Source organism: Homo sapiens, chromosome 12 (genome assembly GCF_000001405.40).
Source record: "Homo sapiens chromosome 12, GRCh38.p14 Primary Assembly".
NCBI lineage: Eukaryota > Metazoa > Chordata > Mammalia > Primates > Hominidae > Homo > Homo sapiens.
The window spans coordinates 104,458,367-104,477,331 of record NC_000012.12 but is presented as its reverse complement, the minus strand read 5'-3'; the positions used below and the strand labels follow the sequence as shown (position 1 = coordinate 104,477,331).

The following is an 18,965-nucleotide window of genomic DNA, read 5'->3' as shown; positions in this document are numbered from 1 at the left end:
GCTCCACCAACTACTAGCTGGGTTACTTTAAGTTAATTACAAAACTTCTCTGAGTCCCACCTAAAAATGAGGATGAGGCCAGTTCTCCTCGCCAGGCTGTGGAGAAGACTAAATGATTTAACACCTGTAATGGGTACCTAGTGAGTAGCAGTGAAAATGTATCTTTTCATTGAATTTGAATCCTAAGGATGATCTATTATAGGACTCTTGGACAGGCACTGAGGGTATGGAGGTGGCTTTACAGCAAGCTACTTGTCCATTCATGAATCCCCCTATCCCTGGAAGCCCATTAATAAGATACTTTGTGACATCTGAAGAAAGTTCTGTTCTCTTCCCAGATCAAGTGAAACCTCTCCTTACCTTCCTTGGCTCATTCATTCAGACATGCAAGCATGTATGCAACAAACATTTATTTTATTACAAGTCTGTCATACGCCAGGGACTGGGGACACAGTTTGTGGCCTCCAGAAGCCTATAATCTAGTATGGACCAAAAACTCAATGCAAGCATGAATGTTGAGATAGAGGAAGGCTCCATCAGGAATCTGGATGACAGCTTAATCAAAGGAGCTGGGATATAGTAAGATGGACATATTCACACACTGCTGGTTGGAGCATCAATAGATACAATCTTCTAGAAAATAATTTGGTTACACTTATCAAGAGCCTTCAAAGGTTTATAACCTCTGAATTGCCCCTCTGAAATTTTATCTGAAAGGGACATTAAGAAACTCAGACAAAAGTTTAGTTTACAAAAAAAACGGCATTTTTTTAAAAGGGAAAATCTTTCTCAAAAATATTCAACAAAGGAGAATGGCAAAATGAAAATACATCCATCTGATGGAATATTACAGTGTTGTCAGAGAAAACTGAATGACATGAGAAAATGCCCATGATTCGGTGCTACATGGAAAAAGCAAAATACACTGTAAGCCTGACGATTTCATCTTTGTAAATATATATACACACATATATTACATATCTTACATATATGTGTATATATTATATGTGTGTATAACATATGTATATATTATTCACATATGTGTATATACTACATGTGTACATATTACATATATTACATATATGTGTAACATATGCTATTACATATAACATATATGTAATATTGTTTTTGCATGTGTTTATTATAATTTTTATAATTATAATTCTATTTATTTATATATTTATTATAATATATAATATATTATATTATATATTATTATTTATATTTATATATAATTATAATTTATACATATATAACTACATATATGTAATTATATATTACAAGTATTACATATATGTATATATTATAATATATTTATTTATAAATGTATACATTTATAATAATATATGAGGGATAACTTTTTAAAATATATCTTTGTAAATATATATAATATAAGGGACCCGCTTCTAAAAAAAAGTCATATATATATATATGGGACCTACTTTCAAAAAAATTCATCCCTAATCCCTGCCACCCAGGAAAAATCTCTTGACCTTCTGGTCTATTTTTCCATGGATATATACATATAAATACATATATATATGCATATATATGGCAGGGATTGGGGTAACTTTTTTTGGAAGTAAGTTCCTTTTTTCAAAATTCTCTATAATACACTTGAATTAATTTCATAATCAGAAATATATATATATATATATATATATATATATATAATGCTGCTTTACTCTGAGGCATCATAGGGCAGGGGAGGGAGATGATGGTGAAGGAGCCAGTGGGGCCACCAACCTTGCCCCTTGATAAATTTTATGCCAAGAACGTGAGCTCTATTAAGATAGGGATCATTGTCTGTTTTGTCCCCTGCTGTTTCCCTAGCACAGGAACAGTCCTGGCACAAACAGTAGCCATTCAACAAATGCTTGTTAAATAACTGAACAAATGACCAGAGCCCAGCTCAAATGTTCCTTCCTCTGTCAAGTTCCCTGACCTCCCCTAAACTAATTACTCTTTTTTTTTTCCTAGCCACCCACAGCCATTATTATAAAGCATTACAGCTAACAATTATGGGTCTGTCACCACTTGCTAAATTGCAAGTTATTTGTAGGCAGGAACTAAGTCTTATTTAGATTTGTCTCTTTGCTCAGATAAATATTTGGTCAATAAATGTTTGAGTGCTGGATGGAGGGGTGGAGAGATGTCAGACAGTTCATACTGCATGAACAGTAATTATTCATTTTAATTATGATTTAACCCTCATGTAAATGTGTATTGATTTTGAGAACTGCTAATAGCATCAGATCTGAGTTGGGAAGAGACCTTAGAAATAGTCTAAATAGTCTAAGTAGTCAACTGCAAAATTGTTGGTTTTAGCCCTGAAATACTTAATTCTAACAAAATTTTACTCAGAACCCAAAAATATGAAACAGATAAGCAAGGAGCCACTCTGATGGGGGTGGGGTTTACTGGGACCCCCTACCGCCGTCCAAGGACCTTCCCCCATGCTTCGGCTTAGAGGAGTAGTTTGAAAACTGCCAACATCTACATTGTTAGTAACACATGTGGGGTCCCCAAAGGGGGCAGAAGAACTGGGACAAGAACCCAAGATCCCTGATGCCCCACCCAATGCCCACCCAATGCCCTTTCTACTTTGTTGGAGTTTTATAACAGATCGAACACTCAGCAATGACCTCTGTGTTCCTAATCCATTCCTTGTTTATTTCCCATGAAAATAAAAAAGGAATGTTGCTGTGACTTTCCAATGACAACATCCTGCACATCCCTCAAATCTCATTTGCAGGAAGGCACTTACTATCAGCCCTGGATTTATTTTTAAAAATCTCATTTTGCTTTTACAGGCACAGGAAACAAAGTCAGCATAAGCCTTGAAAGAATTCTCTGCAGAGTCCCAAGAAAGAGCCCTGAGCTGCTCCCCTCCTGAATGCAATGGATTATCCTAAAGTGAGCAAGGCCACTATTCCGAGTTAATATTTTTAAGCACATAATTGTCGTTCGGATGATGGCTCACACTCTCCCAAAGAAAGCTGTTTTATTACAATTAACTAAAAGATTGCCTGTTCAGTTTCTGATCTCAAACCTGCACTTCCATTTTTGAATAGCAAAATTATACAGAAAACCCTATATATAATGAAACCTTCGCTCTTAAAGGATTTCACTAATTCTTCCAATTGCAAAATAATCCCCATTCCAATACCTTTGCATAGGCTTCCAATAATAAGTACTACCTCAATTAGACCTTCCAATCTCTAATCCCTAAATCTTTATAAGTTTGCAAGTGTAAATCCAGAAACCCTTTTAGCTTGCCTGTCCACATGCCCCCTTTAAAACACGCTGCATATCTGTGATTACATTATATTAGTTTCTTTTTCAATTAAGCCTTTGGAAGAGTTCTCCCTGTCGTGGTTGTAGTGGTCGCGGTGGTGGTGGTGGTGGTGGTGGTGATGATGGTGATGTTTTAACGGAAAATAAAGGGGATCAAAGGTGGTGAGATGCCCCTATGAGAAAACCAGCTCTCAATTATTCATCGACAGGCGTCAAGTGCTACAGTCTAGCAGAGAAAATACAGGCAGCCCTCAGCTTTGTACCAAGCACAATGGCCCCCAGAAGTGACTGTGAAAGCCACAGAGAGATGCCTTTTTACATTGTGTATGAGCTCTACAATAGCCCCATGCCCTCTCCCACAGCCCAGGAAGGGGAGCCTAAAAAAAGAGGCAGTCTTTTGATTTAAAGAGGACACAGGGCGGCATCTTTCAGGGGTACAATGCACTCAGACCCCACACACAGTGAACTTGGGTCTCGCTTCCAGGAGGAAGCAGCAGACTTTGTTCTCCATCCTTCACTGCTCATCTCTAGGGCAGCCCAACAGCTGCAGCCTGACCCGGATACACCCATGAGCTCCCACTGAAGCAAGAAACTCTCTTCCCTGCGACTATTTACACACTTTCCCTTTCTCCTGCCACTGCTTCCAGAGCCCTCTGAGGGTGAAGCTAGGGCACCATTAGCAACTGAGAGACTGAAATTTAACCTCCATGGCCTATAATTTTGGCCCGAGCAATGCAAAACAGAGGAGTTTCAAATCCCACTACAGAGTGCCTTTAAGCTCTTTCTTACTTTGCACTTTAGTCGTTCATGAATAATCTTACCTCCCATTAAATGATGATAATAGAAACGATTTCCAAATGGCCCCGAGTTCATTTTGAGAAAGTGAGTTTGAAACTACTGCCTTTCTAATGAAACAAGAGAGTTTAAATTCAGCTTAAATTTCATCATCTGAAAAACAGGAGACACTAAACCTTCTGTGGCTCCCTGGTACCAAGAATAAAACTCAAACTTTAGAGCATTCAGAGCCATCCAGGTTCACCTCTCCACCCCTGGGCTCCCGTATTCCCAGACATCACTCTCCTCACTGCCCCACTCCCTGCTCTGGCAGGCGTCCTCACCTGGAATGTCTTTCCTCTCCCTTCCCAGATTCCGCCAGCAAATTTCTACTCATCCTTCAGAGCCCGGTGCCAACCTCAACTTTCCCTGGAAGGTTTCCTTCCACCACCACCACCACAACCACCACCATCACCACCACCACCAAAATCAATCACCCTCCTCTCCCTTTCCTTCACAGTTTGTCTCTCTTTGTAACAGCAATCGCATCTGGCCCCATAAGACAGTGAAGTATGTGTGTTTACATCCACCCTAATAGAATGAATGTTCCTTGGGCCAGACTTTGCAGCTAAACGTTGGTATTAGAACCATTTGAAACAAAATTTAAGCAATTCCCTAAATCCTTCTGAGTCTCCATTGCCTCATCTGTAGAATGGAGCTAGTAACAGTTGCTCTTGCTACATGGCAGACTGTGTCAAGATCTCAATAGCACAATCAAGCTTCAGATAGCGACTGATTAACTAGAAGACTCTGAAGATACCTTAGAGGCCTGAAATGACTTTAGAGGGGTGTGTGTGTGTGTGTGTGTGTATAAAACTTTGCAGCCAATATCTTGTATTTAACATGTTGAGCCTTAAGATAATCAATATTATTCCCAAAGGGTATAGCTAAAACCCAGGAAAGACAACATCCCCTTAAGAAAATGGAAGGGGCGGGCGCAATGGCTCACGCCTGTACTCCCAGTACTTCAGGAGGCTGAGGCAAGATCCCTTGAGCCCAGGCATTTGAGACCAGCCTGGGCAACATAACTAGACCCTGTCTCTACAAAAAAAAAAAAAAGAAAAAAAAAATCAAAAATTAGCTAAGTGTGATGGTGCACACCTGTAGTCCCAGCTACTTGGGAGGCTGAGGAGAATTCCTTGAGCCCAGGAGGTCAAAGTTGCAGTGAACTATGATCATGCCACTGCATTCCAGCCTGGGTGACAGAGCAAGATTCTGTCACCATAAATTTTTTTTTTAAATTAGGGTGAGGGGAGACCAAAAAAAGCCCTAGTTCAATGTAGAAAAGGTTCTCTAACACTTTAGAGCTACACTATACATTACAGTAGCCCTAGTCACGTATGGCTAGTAAGCATTTGAAATGCAGCTAGCCTGAATTTAGATGTCCTGTAAAAATACACATTGGATTTCTGGAGACTTAGTACCAAAAATATGTAAAATATTGCAGTGAGTTTTAATATTGAGTACCTGTTGCAATATTTCAGGTATTAATCTCACCTGTTTCTTTTCACTTTTTTCAATGTAAAAATGGCTACCGGAAGATTTAGTTCTGTGTGCAGCAGCAGTGTATTTCCACTGGACAGTGTTGCTCTACAGAAGTCTTGTCTCAGACCCTCCCGTTGCAAACCAAATTAGCAGATCCCTTTCTGGGACACATTTAATTACCTTTGTGGTTACAGTGATGCAATTCCTACAACTTTGACAGTTGTTCACTTTTTGGCTGTTCACATTTAGCCATGGTATAAAAGGGGTTGTTCTTGGCTCTCTTAAGTGACAGCTCACCATAGAATCAAAATGAAAATCAAATCAGCATTGAAAATTCCATACCCGCTATCCCAAAAAGGGGGATTTTCTTCTTAGTGACCAATTACCATCAGTGTATTCCTTCTTTTAGCAAATAGTTACTGAGTGACCATTATGTACCAGGCTCTATTGGAGATGTTGGGATATTGTGCTAAACAAGACATGGCCCCTTCCCTGAAGGAGTCAATGTATCAGAATGAGTAATATTAGAGATGTACACACACAAAGTACCACAGGGATGACAGGAAGGACATCTATCCCCTCATTCTGACCAAGAGGGGATGGATGGTAACACAAGAGGTAATACATGAACTAGACTTCGACCCAAGGTCACATCCAAGTTGAAGAAAGACATGAGCGTCATCTAAACACAGATGATACCCCAGGCCCCAAGAGAGGATGAGCTCACCAGGGATAGCGTGTAGGGTAAGAAGAGAAGGGGCTATCATTGAATGTCCCACTTACAGAGTTTACAGCTGAGCTTAAGGCCTTTATGAAATAATTACTTCTTGACCTAATTATCTGAAACCAAGAACATGGAGATGGGCATACTAGTGAGGTGAAGAGTACAGTGTTTGCTGTCAGTTAGACCTGAGCCAGGATCCTGTTCCAGCTTTCCGATTAGGCAGGCTCCTTCACCTCTCTAAGCCTCAGTTTCCTCACCTGTATAATGGGATTGGTAAATGTGCATCTCACAAGGTTGTGGTGGGGATTAAATAGGATGGATAATCCAAATACAGCAGCTGACATACTGTTTGATACAGAGCAAGTATTTGGTAAGTGGTCATTGTTGTTACTGGTTTTTTTCATAAAGCATCAGAAAAATGTTGAATCAAATAAGGGTTTGATATGGTTTGACTGTGTCCCCATCCAAATCTCACCTTGAATTGCAATAATCCCCATGTGTCAAGGGCAGGACCAAGTGGAGTTAGTTGGATCATGGGGGTGGTTTCCCCCATGCTGTTCTCATGATAGTGAGTGAGTCTCATGAGATCTGATGGCTTTATCAGTGTCTGGTATTTCCCCTGCTTGCACACATTCTCTCTCCTGCTGCCCTGTGAAGAGGTGCCTTCTGCCATGATTTTAAGTTTCCTGAGGCCTCCCCAGCCATGCAGAACTGTGAGTCAATTAAACCTCTTTCCTTTATAAATTACCCAGTCTGAGGTATTTCTTCACAGCAGCATAAGAACAGACTAATACAGGGTTTCCCGACTATTGATATTTTGAGCTGGCCTATTCTTTGTTGTGGGGAAGTCTATCCTATCCATTGTAGGATGTTTAACAGCATCCCTGGCCTCCACTCACTAAATGCCAGTAGCACACCTTCCCCAGTTAATGACAACCCAAAATGTCTCCAGACATTGCCACCTGTCCCCTATGGGGGAAGAAGGAGGTCCCAAACCAGTTGCAAACAAATAGTCTAAATCAATGATTAGGTGGAATGGAAAGAGGTCTGGGTGCTTAAAAAGATAGAAACTTTTTCAACTTGTAAAGAAATGTGAGCCCTGACAAATATGCTCCCCTTCCTCTATGATAACTCTGCAGCCTAACAGGGACTATTTCAAATGTGAGCCTGGCCTCAGGTTGAAGAATGCCGGGCCTAGCCCAGATCAGGGTTATGGAGTCTTTGAACTAAATTTCAGCACCTGGTCTGGTGAAGAAGGGAGGAAATGGGTCTGTGCCCCAGCTACAAATGCCAGCCACAGAGCAAGCTCCATGACACCTGCAGTTAAGCAGTGGGAAGGACTGACCCCTATACAGGAAGAGCCCTTAAAGTCCTCCTCAGCACAGAACAAGCCCAATGTGGAGACATAGGGCCAATTGATGCTGTCCTGTGCAATGAGCCATGCTAACCCACCCAACAACTGCTCACATACAGGCTGCCATGCTACCACTGTTATTTTTCTGAAATGACTGCTTTTCATCCTCCTCGGAGTTCAGCTTCAGAAATGGCATTGACCAGTGCCTGTTATTTCCCAAGTGTCACTAGTTAAAGCTAATGGGAACCTGAGGAGTAATTAAGTGCATAATTGGGAGGAAATGCTGCGGTCACTGCATTCAGCAAAAAAACACAAGGCTGATTTCTGACCAAATATAAACTCTGCTTTGCAAATTGCTACACAGTTTTGGCCTTGGCAGCGGGTATGCCTGTTAGTACGGCAGACAGAGGGTGAGCACATACAGAGAGAAGATATTCACAGGAGCCTCACACTTATAGAAGTCAGATCCTTTCAGTAAATCTTACAGTGTAGGACGCACATGTTAAAAGGATAAAAACTTGCTCAGGTTTCAAACAGAATTAAATAGAACAGCATCTTGTTGACATGGAGATTCACATCCTTGAACGAGGAACCACACAGGTAATTTATCATAACAACAACATGTTTATACTGCTTTTACATTCATTTTTTCTTTTCTTAAAATTTAATTTTATTTAATTTTAAGTTCCAGGATACATGTGCAGGACATGCAGTTTTGTTACATAGGTTTACATCCATTCCCAATGCATTTTCACATCTAACTTCTCATTTAATCTTTACCACCGCCACCCATAAAAGAGGTAACATTACTACCTTCACTTGGCAAATGAGGGGACCAAATCTCTTGTCTGCGACTTTCACTCAGTCACTCATTCAATCAATTATTAAGCCCCTACACTTGCCAGGCACTTGCCCAAGTCATGGGATGCAGCCAAGTACTACGCCAGATGCTGTTTACACATAGAGTTTTGAGCTGTTTCTCAAGGAGGGGCATTGGTGGCATTTGGGCAGAATGATTCTTTGATGGGCAGAAAGGTCCCACCCTTCGCAGAATGTCTATCACTAAACTGCAATCATTCTCGCCAATCTTTAGGGTGGATGGGAAGAGTAATGCCCAAATGAGAGCCCTCCCAGATGTTCAGAGCAGCGGATATGAAGTCATACAGCCGGGTTTGGTTTTTATTCCATCCATTCCTCTCCTGGGGACCTTAGACAAGTGATAATGCTCTATGCTTCAGTTTCCCCCCTTGTAAAATGGTGGTAATTATAGCGTATACATTATACGAGTCCCATGGGGGAGTAATCTATATTCAATGCCTGACCCAAGTTGGCCTTCGGTAAATAATATCCAATAAATATCTTTACTATTTCATTGGTTCATCTCCCATCTACCCTCATCTCCTTCAATCTTTAAAGCGACCTTTGCAGAGAGAACTTCCCTGACAATCCTATTTAAAATTTCAATCCCCCCACCACTGCCACTTCACATCCCCCTTCCTTGCTTCCCCGCCTCCCGTAGCATTTGTCACCTTCCAACATACTCTATAATTTAATATCCATTTGTTATTGTGTCTCCCCCACTATGATGTATGTTCCATGAGGACATGGATTTTCACCTGTTTGATTCTACACCTAGAACAGAGCTTAACTCTTAGTAAGCATTTAACAAAAATATCTTGAATGATGTCAAATGGATATAGGGAACAGCCAAATCCTAAAAGCTGGTGTCCAGACTCCAAATTCTGTGCTCTTTTCACTATAATGAGTGACCTTATGCAATGATATTAAAGGTAAAATATGACAACCGTTAAGAAATGTTAAGTGTCCTGTTACAACACTACCTTAGAGGGGCCTCTGTGGTTTCCCTCTTCTGAGATTCTTCGAAGTTAACAGTTTCTAACAGAAACCCAGCCACCAGCTTCTTTCACTTGAGTTGCCTTTGTGAGTTTCTTCTCCCAAGGCATTTAAGATAACGATTCAAGCCAGAGAATGATAAGGACTGAAACACTTCCATTACCAGGTTTCTTTGTCTCTATCCATATCTACATGAGACAGAACCCAAGTCCTGGTGATGCTGGAAATATCAGCCCTCCCCATACAGCTTATCTAAAGCCAAACTAAGCCTCCACCACCGCTAGAACTGGCACCAGGTTAACACTGTACTTTTACCCAGAGTTGACAATGGCAGGTTTGACAATAACCAATGACATTCAAGGCAGGTCTAGTCCTGGAGTTCCAAAATCCTAGTGGACACTGTGCCACAAAAGGGGTCCGGGAAGGAAACATCAGACTTCCCATTTTTTGTTCATCTAGACACCAGACCTTCCATTTTCAGTTAACCTAAAAAAATTTTAACTATATCAAGAATACAAATGGCCACAAACAACTCCATCTAACCTGTCATATCAAATTACATGTCAGTTATGAAACTCAGGCAGGTATCCTCAACCACAAAATGAACTGGAGTGACCACCTCAATAATTCCACCATTCTCAGCATATTTCAATGAATAACCATTTACAACTGAATCATAAGTAAATTTACAGATTATATTATCTACTTTTAACTATCCTATTCCTCACAAAATAGAACTGAGGCCTAAAGAGATCCCAGCCAAGAAACCACAACTTGAAGATAATTGTCACAATCCAGGCACACAAGAAAATGGCATTCCTCCCTCTTGAGTACTAGCTCTCCATTGTATCTTTGTGGACAACATTACAAGGTCAAAAGGATGAAAGAATCAGAATTGATAAAGAGTCAGCCAACGGAATTATCCAACAGATAACGACATAGGGGTTTGCAGTCACTAGTCAGAAAGGATCCTATCCTAGATATGTAGATAATGGTAGTAATATGCAGAAATTATTTATAAACAAAATATATTGAGGGATGGCTGCTCAAATATGTTTTACCAATAGGGTGTGGTGAGTATTGTGATTATTTGCTCATCGTTCATTCTACCCTCCTTCTAGAAAGCTTTCTAGCCTGCAGAGGCTGGTAATTGAAAAGCTGTATTTCCCAGGCTTCTTTGAAGCTAAGGTTCTAGATGTGAATTTGGCTCTCCCAAATAGAAGCACTCACTTGAGATTTAGAAAGCAGATGTGGGGCAGAGAGGCCATCTTCTTGCCTTTGGGGCTGTTTGGCCGCTGGCAAGCATGGAGATGGGGTCACGAGGGTTTTTTGCAACAGCATTATAGGGTCCACTCTCCGGCTTTGCCATCAATTTGTTCTTGAACTCAATAGTTCCAGACACAGTATCAGAGGGTGTAGCACCCCTAGTGAGTCAGTTTTGTTTTTTGTTTTTTGTTTTTTTTGAACAGCCATGCCAACATACGTTTGTTTATTAATTATTATATAAACTACTACCATTAGCTGGGAGACATTCCTGGAGCCCCATTCCTCCAGCCCCCTTATGCCTCTATAAGCACAAAATTCCCTCTAGTAAATATCTTTCTGCTTAAAATACCTAGACTGGTGCTGGACACGGTGGCTTATGCCTGTAATCCTAGCATTTTGGGAGGCCGTGGCGGGCAGATCACCTGAGGTCAGGAGTTCGAGACCAGCCTGGCCAACATGGTGAAACCCTGTCTCTACTAAAAATACAAAAATTGGCTGGGCGTGATGGCGGGCACCTGTAATCCCAGCTACTTAGAAGGCTGAGGCAGGAGAATCGCTTGAACCCAGGAGGCAGAGGAGCCAGACGGTGCCACTACATTCCAGCCTGGGCGACAGAGTGAGACTCTGTCTCAAAAAAAAAAATTAAATTAAATTAAAAAATAAAATATCTAGACTGATTTCTATTTCCTGCCCTGAAACACAGCAGAACAGAAGCAAAGAGATTTGGGAGACAAAGGGACTAGACCACAGCAGATGCTGTTTGTACATGACAATCCAACCTGGCTCCTCCTTCTGAGTTCTGCGCACATGGATTGGGTGGTGACCGAGGTGGAAAGGCTTATCTTTGAGAATCAATTATTTACTCTTTAAATGTTTCCTAGGCACCTCTGGGCCAGGGTCAGAGGCTATAAAGATGAACCTGACAGAATCCATGCCTTGCTATGTCAAAAGAGGAAGATGTACAAAAAAACAAACAACCACAGTACATTTCTAAAAGGGCCAGAAAAGAGAAATGACAAAGTCATGACAGCTCAGTAGCCTTGAAAGAAACAAAAATCCACATTGGTGATACTTTCCCTGGGCAATGTTTATGTCTATTTCTAGATGAACTTCCAGGTTCAAGCCTCAAGTTAAATCACTTACTTCCCACCCTCCCCATTCTAACTCTTAACCAACCTCATCGTTAATCAGACAAATACTAACTACAAGCCCTGGGCTCTGAAAATAAGTGCCAGGCAAAGTTAAAAAGACTTGGACAGACTGCATGCCAGTCTGGCCATTGAGAAGCAAGTACTCAAGACTAACCAGGTACTTTTGAGCCCTCAGACTCTGCATCTTGGAGGAATGCCATTTTTCATCACTTACTGAGGTTATGAAGTGTGCCACAGTTTACATAAAGTACTTTCACAATTTACAGAGGTGGCCTCAGAAGGCATCCATGGTGAAGGCACACTGCTATTTGATGGAACACTAAGAAACGAAACAGTTGCTCGTTAAAGGGCAGCACGGTGCTGAGATGCCATCAATCACAACACAAATTGCATAATCACTAAAATGTGAAAAAAATATGTTCTGGAATCAATAATACACAATAATTTATGGGGATAGGACATGGGAGACCCCAGACTAGGACTCGGGTCTTCCACTCCCAGAGCGCTGATCCATTTCATCGTTTTATTTTTATTGAGTGCTGATTTAAGTCTGGCACTTTTTCTGGATATTTTTATTAACAAATGCCACCGATTGCACCCTGAAGATATTACGAATTTCCCACTACAAGCTCAGTCAAAATTTTTCTCAAATCTCTTTTTCAGATCTCTTCATTACTGCTTTAAAAATTGGAAATGGGACTGGGTGTGTGGCACACCTGTAAGTCCCAGCTGCTTGGGAGGCTGATGATGTAGGAGGATCCCTTGAGCCCAGGAGTTCGAGGATGCAGTGAGCCGTGATCTCACCACTACACTCCAACCTGGGCAATAGAGCAAGGCCCTGTTTTTAAAAATAAAGATAAATTTTAAAAAATTGAAAAAGGAGATGGTCTAGTTGGGGGTCAAGGGGGAGCAGGTGGTAGAGGGGAGATGGGACTTATATGGTGACCACTTAACCAAAGTACACTACCGGCTGCCCAAAGATGAGCACAAATGTGCAAGTAGAGCTGGGCACAGTGACTCACACCTCTACCAGCACTTTGGGAGGCCGAGGAGGGTGGATCACTTAAGGTCAGGAGTTCAAGACCAGCTTGGCCAACATGGCAAAACCCAGTATCTATTAAAAATGCAAAAATTAGCCAGGTGTGGTGGTGCATGCCTGTAATCCCAGCTACTCAGGAGGCTGAGGCAGGAGAATTGCTTGGGCCCAGGAGGCAGAGGTTGCAGTGAGCCCAGATTGCACCACTGCACTCCAGCCTAGGTGACAGAGCAAGACTCCACCTCAAAAAAAAAAAAAAAAAAGTGCAAGTAGGAGACTTCATTTTCAATCTTGCTACATTGCTTCCACCCTTATTCCTTGCCTCCCTGCCCCAAGAGACCTCTGCTCAAGCTTCTGCAGCGCTTCCCTCCCATCTACAGTTAAACCCAAGGCTCAAAACAATTGTCTCTCTCCGACTTGTCTCTCCCCACTGTGGTTGTTGGCTGCCTCCGTCCCTCTGCTCTGGGCACTCTGACCACCTTGCCATGCGTGTTCTTGCCTCAGGGACCAGATTTGACTTGTGTTGCTCTCTGCCTGGAACATGGCCGGCTCCTTCATTTCCTGCAGGTGTCTGCTCTCAGTGTCATCTTATCAATGACATTCCCTAATTACCTCTATATTATATTGCAACCCCTGCCTCTCACACCCCTCAACCATCTTCTCTGTTTTGTTTTTCTCTTAACACCATCTGATATACCATATATGTCACTTCTGCATTTGCTTAAAGTCTGTCCGCCCCACTAGAATCTAAGTTCCATGAAGGCAGAGATGTATGTATGTGTTACATCTCCAGTGCCAAGAACAGTATCTGGCACAGAGTAGAAGAAAGGAAAAGAGAGAGAGACAGACAGACAGGGGGCTGGGGAGGAGGAGAACAAGTCTGCTTGTAAGTTTCAATCACTCACATTGGATCTAAGATGCATCAAATTACAAGTTCTAGGAAATTTTAACTGACAGATCAGATTGTTCATAGGAAGAACTGCCTCCCCTTTTATTTGTTATAAAGGTGGTGTCCCAAAAATTCAAAAGAAAAACTAAAAAGAAAAAAAAATGAATCAGCAGAATGACTTCTGGTTTTCCTCAGAGTCTGAACTTAGAAGAGGCCTGCTGGCAATGACTTTCATGAGAGCCTTTTTCACTTGACCTCCAGACTAAAGAGAGGTCCTTTTGGTGGGTTTAAGAAGGGAAAGGGTGGTGCCTTTGCTTATGAGCCTTTGACTTCCTGTTTTGAAATGACTGTGCTGATAAAGCTATGAACAAAATGATCTTTCAACCAGACAAATACTGACAGCAGATACCTCTGCTGAAGGATGGATTCCCTCACCCCTCACCCCACGGAAACCCCCAAACCACCCTTTCTGTGGTGCCTGATCACCCCTTTTTATTTTGGAAGGCAATGAAAATGAGGACTGTAACAATCAAAGGAGATCACCTACATCTGTCTCATCTGAGCACAGCAATGAAAATGCTCCATCGAGGTGCAAACATTTAAATGATCAAGGAGAGACCCCATGCTAAAAATGTCTTCTCCTTCAGTTATTTTTTTACTTGTTAATTTTTATAGGTACATAGTAGTTGTATATATTTATGGGGTACATGAGATCCTTCAGTGATTCAATGCTGTTTTCAGAATTCATAACAGTCTCATATTTGAGACCCTCTTGACACCTTTTCAATGGAAGTTTCAGGTGTATAACATAAGAACAGCCCCTACAAATTGGTAAGACTCCAAACTATTCCATGTATAAGCAAAAAGATTCTGTAACGTAACATTAAATTTGTGCAACCACAGCAAAAAAAATAATACCAGACTGACATCCTGCAAAGGGGTAGGGTGGGAGGTGGAGACACATGCAAGTCTATACATTTAAACAGTTATGGTTAAACTTTGTCTTTAACTTTAATAACTAGTTGTGACAATGATGTATTTGTCTAAAATACTTATTATCAAACAGGATACAAAATGCATGATGTTATCTCAACTATGTATATGCATTTTGCATAGTTGAGAAAAATACAGAATATATAAATATATATAAATATATTCTATAATATATTTTTAAAGTACCAGTTGCCTCTTGGTGGTGGAATAATGATTGTTTTTCTTCTATACCTCCTAAATTTTCTTTTTTTCTTTTCTTTTTCTTTTTTTTTTTTTTTTTTGAGATGGTGTTTAACTCTTGTTGCCCAGGATGGAATGCAATGGCACAATCTCAGCTCACTGCAACCTCCGCCTCCCTGGTTCAAGTGATTCTGCTGCCTCAGCCTCCCAAGTAGCTGGGATTACAGGCGTGCACCACCACGCCCGGCTAATTTTTTTTGTATTTTTAGTAGAGACGGGGATTCACCATGTTGGTCAGGTTGGTCTCAAACTCCCAACCTCAGGTGATCCACCTGCCTTGGACTCCCAAAGTGCTGGGATTACAGGTGTGAGCCATCGCACCTGGCCACCTCCTAAATTTTCTAAAATGAGCACATGTTATGTTTACAATTCGTTTAAAATTATAATACAAAATGCATTTTAGGTTCAACCTGATCAAGTGAAAGTGCAAGGGGGTAAAATGAGACATCTTTAAATAAAGGATATAATCTTTCAATACATTCAACCGAGGCAAAGAAATCCCAGGTGACAGTGAAAATAAACATTTTGCAAAAATAAAAATAATAGAGAGGAAGCAGACAGGAGAGAAAAGGCTTTCTCCTCTGAAGGCTTCTTTCTATGAACAGTAGATTTCAAACAAAAACCACAATCCTATGGAGTAACACAAAAGGAAGGTTCTGAAGAGCTGCCTTTACACACTCTGTGCCAATGCAGCCTGGGGGGCCTCTCAGCTTTGCACTGCATGACACAGCTCCATCAAAACCCAGCCATCTGGGGCAGGTATGCAAGACATTTTAATGCAAGCTGATGAACTTGCATAGGAAGCATTCATTGGTGAACTCAAACCTGTGTAGAAATCACAGGTATATGGTTCCATTCTCCCTAGCTTTAGGAATAGTTCACGGCCATAGAAGGTGTCTGTTCTATGGATGGATTTCCTTAGAATCCATCTAAGTGGCTAAACAAGACCAACCTTCTCCAGAATCCAGGACACAGAGCAGTGCCTCAGCTGCCTACACCTCACGGGCTGCAAATTTAGGTCACGGTGAAAGCTCCTGTCTGGCGCCTGATTAGTTTAAACTGGGTCCGTGTCACAGTTCAGGAAGGCAGGAAGTTTCCCCACCAGACAGAGCCAGAGTTATTGACCAGGCATTCTTGGCAAGGCTAGAAGTGACCTTCCTGAAAACCAGAGAAGTGGGTCTACTTCTGGAGTTTAACCACTTCATGCATTCATCCAGCAAACATTCTATTGAGAACCCACTGTTGTCAGACACCGTGCAAAAAACATCGGGATTAAAATGGAGTCTAAAACCTGGTCCTTGCCCTATAAAATATTCTTAAGGAAGACTATTAACTCAGAGTATCAAAAACTTCTAAATGTAACTATCCTACTGACAAGGCCCACTTCTGCTAAACCCTTGTGCAACTGATGACCAATTACTCAAATTTGCAAATTAATCAATTCTATGAATTAGAAAAGATAATGGGCCCCAGATTAGAATCAGAGAGAGGGACAGCCAGCCTTGCCAGCTGTCTCCTTTTTGTCTCTTTTTTTTTTTTTTTTTTGAGACACAGTTTCACTCTGTCGCCCAGGCTGGAGTGCAGTGGTGCCATCTTAGCTCACAGCAACCTCTGCCTCCTGGGTTCATGCTATTCTCATGCCTCAGCCTCCGGAGTTCCTGGGATTACAGGCGTGTGCCACCACACCCAGCTAATTTTTGTATTTTTAGTAGAGATGTGGTTTCGCCATGTTGGCCAGGCTGGTCTCGAACTCCTGAGCTCAAGTGATGCACCCGCCTCAGCCTCCCAAGGTGCTGGGATTCCAGGTATGAGCCACCGCGCCCTGCCTTCCTTTTTTTCTTTCTCTCCCTCCTCTCATACCCTCCAGCCACCAACGAAGCCTGGAACCCATTGCTTTTGCAATACTATTTTTCTATTTCACATGTAGGTATCTGGAACCCCTGCCAGAGGCCTCCAAATTTTTAGCTACACAATCCGTGCCATGCTGTGGTCCCTTCTGCCTCTCCCAGGGTGATCTGGAGAGACAGAAACTGCAGAGCCAGGCTGAAGGATCAGCTCTCCTTACCCCCAAGATACTTCAGAGAAGCAAGGATCTTTAACTTTTAAAGAAATTCAAACCAGTGAAAGAGATTCCACATCAGTGGTCATTAACAGTGTAGCTTAATAAAATGAACCCCTCAAAAAGAAAATGTTTAATGTAGATTTGAAAGTATATTTTTATGCCCCGTGTAATGATAAACTGTTGACACAGAGCTTTTGTGGACTGTAAGTAATCTGAAATAAGGAAGGCCTTTCAACTGAACTATCTGTAATTCTACATTCAACACAATGTTTTGAAAGTAGTATTTGCTATGGACTGGAGGGAAATATCAGAAAAGTATATTTATAGAGATCTAAATAATAAACAATGGGAGAAAATAGGACTAGAGGGGGACATAAAGGATGGGGCAGGATCATCGACAGAGGATCTTTTTCAGCACAAGCTTAGAAAAGGTTCTCTGCCTCTTCCAAAAGGCTAGGCTGAAAAGATATGATGTCACTTTCAAGTCAACTTAAGACTAACAAGGGCTGGAAATTTTCACAAAGTGACAATTACAAGTTGGAAGTTTCTTTCTAGTATCTTTGGCTAGAAAGTTATTTCCCAATTCTCACAAAGAATTCCATGACAATTGTATTTCCCTGGGCAATTAACAGGTACACAGAAGCTCAAGCGCATTCCTGCTGAAGGCTGACACTCATCCGTGTTCTGGGCATTCGTACAGAGCATTACTGGCATTCACGGTCCCAGCGAAACCTGAACACAGCTCTAGAGTCTAGACCAAATCACCGGCCCCTTGTTTAAACTGTTTGAACCCGAGTGTATCTGTACACCACCAGTCCCCTGGCGCTCTGGGGTGAGTCTGGCCCGGTCTCCGGTGGGCCCTGGAGCTTGGCACTCTGAGATACCCCTGGCTGTCTGGCCCTGCCCACTGCAACCAAGGCCTGCCTGCCGGAATGCAAGCCAGGTCCATTTTTAAATTCCTTTATAAGTTTCACAACCGCAGGTTTGGGTGAGGAGACAAACACCGCTGTAGTTTGCTGACATTAAACTAAAAATACCCAGCTGCAAACAAAAGCCATCTTTAACAGGGCTGGCTCGGACGTCCTGAGGTTACATGTGGTAGAGTCGGACCATATCCTTGGCAGTGTGGCTGCCTTAACAACTGCTCCAGACCGAGTGGGGCAAAGGGGCCGTCTGTCCCTGCGCTGTCAAGGAATCTGCAGCCTGCAGCCCTGCCTGTTTGATGGAAAGAACAGCTTTATTCCTCTGCCATCGACCCAAACGCAGGCTTGATGAATTCGGGACTGCGTCTGTTTAAAGTGTTAGATACACAGTGAAAGGAGAAGGCGGGAGGCAAAAATGAAAAACACCAACCCCACTTCCCTGGAAGGAAATGCGTTTCCACCTCCCTCCTCCTTGCAATTAGAAAAGCAAATTATTGCTGTGACTACGCTGAGAAAGGCAACTCGGAGGCGTAGAAAATGGATTTCTGAGCCAACGTGGCCCGGCAGGGGGCTGCTAAGGGAGGGTAAAAGGGAGCAGGGGAGCCACGGCTTGGCGGGGAGACCCGCGTTACCCGGAAGGCTTCTCGGAACGTTCTACCTGTTGGGCTTCGCAGCCGAGCTGCTCACCCCCGGCCGCCGCGCTCGAGGGCGCCCCTCCCTCTCCAGAACCCAAACTTTCCCTCGCACCCCTAGGAAGCGACGAGCCTCGTCCCTCCCCCAGTCCAGATTTCGGACGTGGAACTTTGCCTGAGCCACAAGGGACCGGAGGAATGGGGTTCATTCCCACGCCGCCCGGG

At 42.3% G+C, this 18,965-nt stretch overlaps 1 protein-coding gene across 4 annotated transcripts in view, besides 5 other annotated features; it reads right to left on the bottom strand.

Moving 5' to 3' along the window:
- The window catches only part of CHST11 (carbohydrate sulfotransferase 11), a 305,067-nt gene that overhangs the window by 284,683 nt on the left and 1,419 nt on the right, over positions 1 to 18,965 (bottom strand). The window lies entirely within an intron of this gene.
- Positions 3,633 to 3,802: an enhancer, noted in NCBI's record as "experimental_23914 CRE fragment used in MPRA reporter constructs". NCBI's record gives its function as "activates a minimal promoter by MPRAs in K562 erythroleukemia cells, with activity observed for the introgressed 12:104867393 variant allele {active_cell/tissue: K562}" and the evidence as "EXISTENCE:reporter gene assay evidence [ECO:0000049][PMID:34662402]".
- Positions 3,633 to 3,898: a biological region, named in NCBI's record as "ATAC-STARR-seq lymphoblastoid active region 6915".
- Positions 3,759 to 3,898: an enhancer, noted in NCBI's record as "active region_6915". NCBI's record gives its function as "activates an Ori minimal core promoter by ATAC-STARR-seq in GM12878 lymphoblastoid cells {active_cell/tissue: GM12878}" and the evidence as "EXISTENCE:reporter gene assay evidence [ECO:0000049][PMID:35858748]".
- Positions 14,347 to 14,396: an enhancer, noted in NCBI's record as "active region_6914". NCBI's record gives its function as "activates an Ori minimal core promoter by ATAC-STARR-seq in GM12878 lymphoblastoid cells {active_cell/tissue: GM12878}" and the evidence as "EXISTENCE:reporter gene assay evidence [ECO:0000049][PMID:35858748]".
- Positions 18,846 to 18,905: a silencer, noted in NCBI's record as "silent region_4798". NCBI's record gives its function as "represses an Ori minimal core promoter by ATAC-STARR-seq in GM12878 lymphoblastoid cells {active_cell/tissue: GM12878}" and the evidence as "EXISTENCE:reporter gene assay evidence [ECO:0000049][PMID:35858748]".